The sequence below is a fragment of the Homo sapiens genome, chromosome 12 (assembly GCF_000001405.40).
Source record: "Homo sapiens chromosome 12, GRCh38.p14 Primary Assembly".
In the NCBI taxonomy this organism is placed as follows: domain Eukaryota; kingdom Metazoa; phylum Chordata; class Mammalia; order Primates; family Hominidae; genus Homo; species Homo sapiens.
Window position 1 is genome coordinate 127,991,614 of NC_000012.12, and position 8,947 is coordinate 128,000,560.

Below are 8,947 nucleotides of genomic sequence, written 5' to 3' on the forward strand. Positions count from 1 at the left end.
GGCTTGGACACAGGACCAAATTGAAGACTAGCTAACACAGGGCGGGGCTGGAAGAAGCTTTCCATAGGACATGTTCATCAGTGCGCCATGTCAGTTTACTGTTGCCATGGCAACACCTGGGCGTTACTGCCCATTTCCATGGCAATGACCTAGTGACCCGGAAGTTACCAGCCCTTTTTAAATAAATTTCTGCATAATCTGCCCCTTAATTTGCATATAATTAAAAGTGGATATAAATACGACTGCAGCACTGCCTCTGAGCTGCTGCTCTGGACGCACTGCCTGTGGGGGAGCCCTGCTCTGCAAGGATCAGTGCCTCTGCTGCTGCTGTGCACGCCGCTTCAATAAGAGCTGCTGTCTCACACCACCAGCTCACCCTTGACTTATTTCCTGGGTGAAGCCAAGAACCCTCCCAGGCTAAGCCCCAATTTCAGGGCTTGCCTGCCCTGCATCACTACTGCCAGTGTGAAGGTTAACTGTGAGCATGTCTGCAGACTTTATCCCCTGTCACTTAGGAAGTGTCCATAAATGACACCTATTACTGTTGTGGTTTGCAGAATCACCATCTGCATTTGCTTAAAGTAGTACACAATATTTAAGGCATCATTAAAAATCCTGTGCTATTTAGTCATTACTGACATCTGTAAATCTCCCGTTTCACAGACAAGTAAACTTGGGGTCCAAGTCAAAGCTGTGCAGCCAACAGTGACTATGCTGAGCTCACTTTTCTGTTCTAAAATCACACATACTGCATCAAATCAACTTCATAGGTAGGCCGAGACCCAGCTTTCCCAGCCCAACATGTCCATGTGTGTGTAAAACTGAAAAAACAAGGAGCAACAGGTGAAGAGAATACTCCTGGAAACAGCTGGAAATAAATTAATTTCCTTGAACCTCAGGGTAAACCTGAGCCCATCTTTCTCTCACCCCTCTGTCATTAGCAATTACATAGAGGCCACTTGTAAGAGCCACACAATGGTGGCTATAGCTTGGATACAAAGGGTAGGTGTGTTTTGTTTCATGCTGGCAGCATGTTTCTAACTTTCTATTGTTGAAAATGTCACACACATTCAAATGTAGAGAGAATAGTATCATAACCTCTAAAGTACCCACCATTCACCTTAAATCATTATCAACTGCTAGCCAGTGTCTTCATAGAATTTTCTCAAACCATATAATTGGCAAACGTTTGATTTGAAAACAACAAAGCAACCTTGGCAATTATATATTGGCTTGATGCAACTGCTTCATGAATTTATCTTATTCATTTGGTTTCCAAAGGCATCTGAATTTCAGAGCTTAAGACTTCTTCAGATGCTTCTTGAGATACAAGGAACGGTTCCTAGTCTTGCAGAGCCTATTATCAATTAGCTTTAAAATGTGAAAGCAAAATTAAAATAAGCTATAGACAGAGCTAACCTCTGTACTCACTGCATCACAGAAGAGAGCACCATCACTCTGCCTCAGGTAGTCCACATGGACACAGTGGAGGAGATGACCCATGCTAGGCATTAGAAGAAGCAGAGTTTTGCAGCAATCGGGAAAGGTAGAGGCTCTCAGTGAGAAAGGCTGCACTTAGCAGAGCACCGTGGGCAGAAGACATTACACAGACAGCCCTCAACTCACACAGCTCTGGTCCCAGCATTGCCAGAGTCAGGTTTCAGCAAAGAGTTCATTTTCCAAACCCTAGGATCCCCAAGATCCCTAAGGTGACTCCACTTATGGGACTGGAATCCCAGTTCTCTACTCCATCTGTAGACACAATCACCAAGTTTCGTTTGTTTTTTTTTTTTTTTTTTTGAGATGGAGTCACCCAGGCTGGAGTGCAGTGGTGCAATCTTGGCTCACTGCAACCTCTGCCTCCCGGGTTCCAGCAATTCACCTGCCTCAGCCTCCCGAGTAGCTGGGATTACAGGCATGTGCCACCATGCCTGGCTAATCTTTATATTTTTAGTAGTTTCATCACGTTGACCAGGCTGGTCTCAAACTCCCGACCTCAAGTGATCCACCCACCTTAGCCTCCAAATGTGCTAGGATTACAGGTGTGAACCACAACACCCAGCCTTACTGAATCTTACTACTTCTATCTCCTTGGCTACCTCTCAAATCTACTTCCTGATCTCTATGCCACCTCCTTAATCTGAATTCAAGCTGCAACCATCTCTTCCACAAATTATTGCAATGGCTTTCCCACAGGGCTCCCTGCCTCTACTCTTGAGCATGACAGTCTTTCCTCCCTGCTGCAGGGTGGAATATACACCTGTATCATAGCCCTCCACCCTTAGAATGAAATGTACACTCCTCTGTCTGGCTGCAGGTCTCCTCATGAACCAGCATCCAGCAGCTCCATCAGAGGTCATCTCTCCCAACATCACACTGGGAGTCTCCTGCTTTGTCTCCATTCTGAGCCTCTGCACAGGCTGTTCCCTCTGACGACCCTGCTTTTCTCTTGTCCCACACACTCCAGTCTCTGCTGACAAGTCACTGATTCTGGGCTACCCAACCTAACTCCAGCGTATGGAAGCCTCTGTGCTGTGTGCTTCTAGATCACCCTTCCTTAACACCACATTTTATCCTATTACCCATTTCACTCTGTCTTTCACTGTAGCTTGTGAGCTCTTGAAAGGAAAGGACATCTGTCCCATTCACCATGATAAGCCAGCATTAAGGGTGATGCCTTACGAGGCGATGAATGAAGACGTAAATGAATGACCACAAATCAATGTTTCTTCTATACCATATTTCCCCTCTACCCAATCCAATGACTGTTTTTGGATTTTACATTTTTCTTTTATTATTTCCAATTTTGACCCGAAAACATATCATTTCATTTTCCAGACTATGTTGAAATGTATGACTTTAACAGATTTGAAGAGCATACTCAAGGGTTCAGCTGATTTTTGGTAGATAATTATATCATTCTTTATTCATTCAACCTAGAAACTCATTTTTTTCTAAGAATGACCCCTGTTTTAGACAATCAAATTTACTTTTAAGCAAAAAACACAGAGTTTCTGGGTCATATGAATTATGTACAATTTAATTGAGATCCCATAGGAAAAAAAAAAAAACAGGAACACTAAAACCAAAATGTTAATAGTAGATGCTTCTGAGGGTGAATTGTAAAAGCAGAGAAATTTCACATCTTTTAAAACTTTCATGTTAGTATAAAAGAATCTTTAAAGATCAGGTGTTATGGTTAGTTTAAAAATCCATCAAAAAGAAAAGGCTTTGCTACTTACTGCAAAATAACATGATGCAAAGTTTTATGAAGATAAAGAAGAAAAATCCATATTAATCTCAATAGATTTAGGGAAAAAACACACAAAATTAATCATTGTTGTTATAATTCTTAGAAAACCAGAAGTCTACATTATTGATGATTTTAAAAATACCTGGAAAATGGAAGTGTTCTTAATCTGAAAGTTGGGTTTTGCAGCTACCTCCATGGACCAGGTGCCCCATGATCTGTTTCTGAACTAAAATTTTCTTTTTAAAAATGTCAAATGGTTATGAAAGAACAAGAAGAAGAAGGAGGAGGTAGAAAAGAAGAGGTGAAGGAAGTGATAAAAGAGAAGAATATGTGATAGAAATTACATGTGGCCCACAAAGTCTAACATATTTGCTACCTGGCCCTTTATGGAAAAAAAAATTTGCTGACTTCTGTGATAAAAGGTATCTACAAATAATTACATCAAGTATTATACCTAGTAGTCAGATGCCAAAATCTGTCTTCAAGAATACAGAAATGGCTTAAGCCTCCTGCTATCACCACTTCAATTCAACATTACACTAAGGGCCGGGTCAGTAAACAAAGTAAGAAAAAATATATCATTTTTTATGGCTGCATAGTATTTCATGGTGTTCATGTGCCACGTTTTCTTTATCCAGTCTATCATGGACGGGCATTTGAGTAGGTTCTAAGTATTTGCTATTGTGAACAGTGCCGCAATAAACATGCACGTGCTTGTGTCTTTATAGTAGAATGATTTATAATCCTTTGAGTATATACCCAGTAATGGGATTGGTGGATCAAATGGTATTTCTGGTTCTAGATCCTTGAGGAATCATCACACTGTCTTCCACAATGGACGTCCTTTGAAGGGACATGGATGAAGCTGGAAACCATCATTCTCAGCAAACTAACACAGGAACAGAAAACCAAACACAGCACGTTCTCACTCATAAGGGGGAGTTGAACAATGAGAACACATGGACACAGGGAGGGGAACATCACACACCAGGGCCTGTTGGGGGGTCAGGGGCTAAGGGAGGGAGAGCATTAGGAGAAATACCTAATGTAGATGACGGGTTGATGGGTGCAGCAAACCACCATGGCACATGTATACCTATGTAACAAACCTGCACATTCTGCACATGTATCCCAGAACTTAAAGTATAATTTAAAAAAAATTTTAAAAAAGAAAAAATAAAGTTTCTGTATTTTACAGAAATATATGCATGCATGTGTGTATATTATACATATACATTTATGCTATATAAAAATAATATATAAAAATATAAAAATAATATATACAAAATACATATTATATATAAAATTTTATAAAAATATTTTATATAATTAATATATAATTATATACAATTTATATATTATTTTATGTATAAAAATAATACAGCATGAATATGCGTATAAATATAAACATACATGCACACATGCATACAAATATATGAAAAATCTATAATAATCTATAGAAAAACTATTTGAATTAAAGAGTAAATTTGGCAAGTTTTCCAGTTACCAAATCAATGTAAAAAATCAATTGTTTTTTCATTTAACAGCGTTTTATATTCTACAGCAACAATGTGTTATAAATGATTTTTCAATGCTATTTACAACATAACAAAAACAAATATCTAGGAACAAAACTAAAGGAAGATATGCAAGACCTTCACAATAAAAATAGTTTAAAAATTACTCAGAGATTTTTTTAAAAATACATGAATGGATATAAAATATTCATAGCTTGGGACAATTGATAGTGCAAATAAGTAAATGTCACCAAATTGATCTATAGAGTCAATGCACACCCAATCAAAACCTCAACAAAATTTTAAATCAGAATGTATGCACTGATTCTAAAATGTATATAGAATTGTAAAAGGACAAGAATAACAAAAACCATCTTGAAGATGTAGTACAGAGTTAGGAAAAATATTCCCAGATATCAAGACTTAGTTAATGTCATACTAATTAAGACTGTGTGATACAGGTGCGGAATGAGACAAATAAACCAATGAAACCAGGCAGAGAACCCAGACGCCTACTCACACATAATGGCCACTCAGTTTATGATATTCTGTCAATGTAGAGAATTATGAAAAGGTGATTTTTAATGATAAACGGTAGAGTTTCCTAGATATTATACGAGAAAAATTAATTCCGTGCACAATAAATAAAAATAGTTGAATTGTGTAGATCTAAAGTGAATAACAAACCAATAAATGTTCTAGAAGTAAACATAAGATACTATCTTCATGCCTTTGGGATATGCGAAGATATCTTAAACAAGATACAAAAAGCAGTAACAATAAAGTTAAATAATTACAAATTTGACAATGTTAGAATCTAAAGAGAAGTCATCAAGTTGGAACAAGTACTTTCAATATACATGTATTCATCAAATATCTCATATCCAAAACATATAAAGAATTCTAAAATCAACAAGAAAATGACATAGAACACAATAAAAAAAAAGAAAGAAATGTGAATTGTCACTTCACAAAAAGTATCCAAAATGTCATATAAATACGTCCAAATGTGCATATCCTCATTAATTACCAGGACAGTGAAAATTAAAGCCTCAATGAGCTATCATCACAAATTTTACTCGATGGCTAAAATTCAAAAGCTTGACAAGGTGATGTTTTCCTAAAGATACTGAGCAAGTCTCACAGTCATAAACTGACAATAGGGATAAAATCTGTTTTGACTACTTTGGACAACTATTTTAGCAAGATCTCCTCAAGTTGAACGAATATACACCCCATGGTCAAGCAATTTCAGTGTTTGGACTATACTCAACAAAACTACATGACCACCAAGACATATGCCAGGATACCCCTAGCAGCATTATTCAGGAGATCTGCACACTGAAAACAACTCAAGTGTCTCTCAACAACAGAATGGATAATACAAGTGAGTGGATTCACACAATGATACGCTATACATAATAAAGATGAATGAATGAAGGTCACATCCAGCCACATGAAGGACTCTCCCAAATAAAATCTCCAGTATTGGACTCCACAAGGAAAATGGTTTATCCTCTGGAAATGATGGCTATCTTTAAGGAGGACGAGGCCAGTGATCACAGGGGGCTGCTGTGGCGTGTTCTGGATGTTCCTAGATGTCTGTTTCCTGACCTTAGTGGTGATGACATATGTGTGCCTCTGTCCACTTTGTGATAATTCAAGGCACGATGCACTAATGATCCCTGTGTATATGTGTGTTTATTGTTTTAAGTTTTTGAATACACAGTGATCATCAGTGAATTACACTAGGTTCAAGCAAAAGCTTAAAAATGATAAACATATTATCCACCCCATAATGCTAAAATAGTATTAAAAATAATGGAAGGAGGCCGGGCGCGGTGGCTCACGCCTGTAATCCCAGCACTTTGGGAGGCCAGAGGCGGGCAGATCACAAGGTCAGGAGATCAAGACTATCCTGGTTAACACAGTGAAACCCCGTCTCTACTAAAAATACAAAAAATCAGCCAGGTGTGGTGGCGGGCGCCTGTAGTCCCAGCTACTTGGGAGGCTGAGGCAGGAGAATGGCGTGAACCCGGGAGGTGGAGCTTGCAGTGAGCCGAGATGGCGCCACTGCACTCTAGCCTGGATGACAGAGTGAGACTCCATCTCAAAAAAATAATAATAAAATAAAATAATGGAAGGAAAAATTGCTCCCAAGCCATTTCTCTGTATCCTAGGACCACTTCATAAATGCTCAAAGTTTTGCATTATTTACTATGGAGTAATATTCTTCTAAAATAAATGTGGAGGAAAAGGAGATTCAGATAAAATCTCATGAGTCAGGAACCACATTATTTTGAAGTGCTAGTGGCAACCGTATTCTTGTCTATGAAACCTGCATGGCTTCACTCTCCAGCCTATATTTTAATGGAACAGAGAAAATTAAAATGTATTATATATTTTACCATAAGCAGCGGTTATCTATAATTATGATTATTAAATATATTCATTTTCTTGAGTGTTTGTCTCCTGAAATAATCAGATTCACAAAAATGATTCTGTTAAAGGACTACCCGATGTGTAGAAAACACATTTCGTTATTGATTCTGCAAAATGCAAATACATATTTGTTAAAATTCTGCAAAATGCAAAATGCAAATACGATTCTGCAAAATGCAGATACGTATTTGTTAAAAGGTGGCATCCAATACATTGCTAAGGACTGACAAGCAGGGTTGCTCATCAGGACACTGAAGCAACGCGTCATGACCAGTGTGAGTGATGGGGTCTCTGCAGCTGAGCCACATGACTCAGGTCATTGAGCCTGTAAGGATATAAATTTTCCATTATCCTGGAGCAAAATTAGTCACAGCCATGCCCATTCTATTCTTTTGTATTGTAAAAGTTAGTTTAGTTATTGAAAAAAGAAAAAGATGACATTTATGGAAAAGATGACTCAGCATAAATATGAAATGTTTTTCTAACAAGCTTTCACTTTTTCTAGAAAAAGAGACTTTTTCATTAGCCATAAGAAAGACACATATATCAGATATCTTAAGAATTTCATGCACAGCTGTTAAAAATTAATTGCTACTAAGGGCGTTTAGTGCAGAGAATAGTAAACATGATCTATGCAAATAATTTCACATTATACATATAGATGGTTATTTTCATTTTCCATAAACTATGAAAAATCACAATAAAAATGTCAAACTGTGGTAGGAAAAATTGGTGTTTGGGAAGCTGAGAGAGGGTGTTTATGCTTATCTTTATTAACTCATATACCTGTTTATTGTCTAAGTTACTTTGCCTATAAGCTTTCATATTCTATTTGATTTCCCCAGACTGTAAGGCATTTCCTTGTGCTCGTATCAGCTTAATCATATCTTATGGAGTTCCATTCTTGACTTCATTCACCAATGTGCTTTGCAGCGATGGAGGTTTGGTAACAAGAATTCCTCCCCATCCATCAGCAGCCACCCAAAGACCTCCTTCTCCAGTCAACTGTTCCTCACTGTCCCATCTCAAAGGGAGTCCTCCTTATAACTGCTGTTAACACAGATCATTGCACTTGGCTTTATTCATGCAGTGTAGGATAGAATGGAATTCTCAGACCAAACACTCACGCACTCTTCTCAACACATCCACATTAGAGAGGGTATGTTTGTATCCCCAGGAGCCCACAGTCTACAATTTGTGCAATGCTGTCCTGGTTTGAGTGTCCACTCGATGCTGAAACCATTATGAATATCAACACTAATAAAACTGCTGAAATAGTTAGATGTGACTTTCTTTCAAAGCAGTCTGTTATATATACCTACTGTGTAGCCATGAAAATTAAAAATATTTTTTAAAAAGCAGCCACTTAGACTATTCTAAATGCCTAAGAATATACTTGCAAAAGGAAAAGGCTAAGAGTTGAAGATACGTTCAAACTAACTAGGAAACTAAGAATGTAAAAGAGAGCAACATGATACCACTTTATGCCCATCAGTTGGGGATACTGGGCAGGATGGATTAATTCCAACAGTTAGTAAGGACGTAACATAATGGGATCCTTGCCACTGCTGGGGGCAAAATAAATCTGGCTCAGCCAGATTTCCAAAGAGCAAATTAGTGGAACCAGATTAAATTGTGAAAATAAATATATATATACATATATGTCCTTTCTCTGCAGTCCTGTTAGTGGTAAATAACCCAGGGTCATTATCACACTGGGCTGTGGGTAAACAAC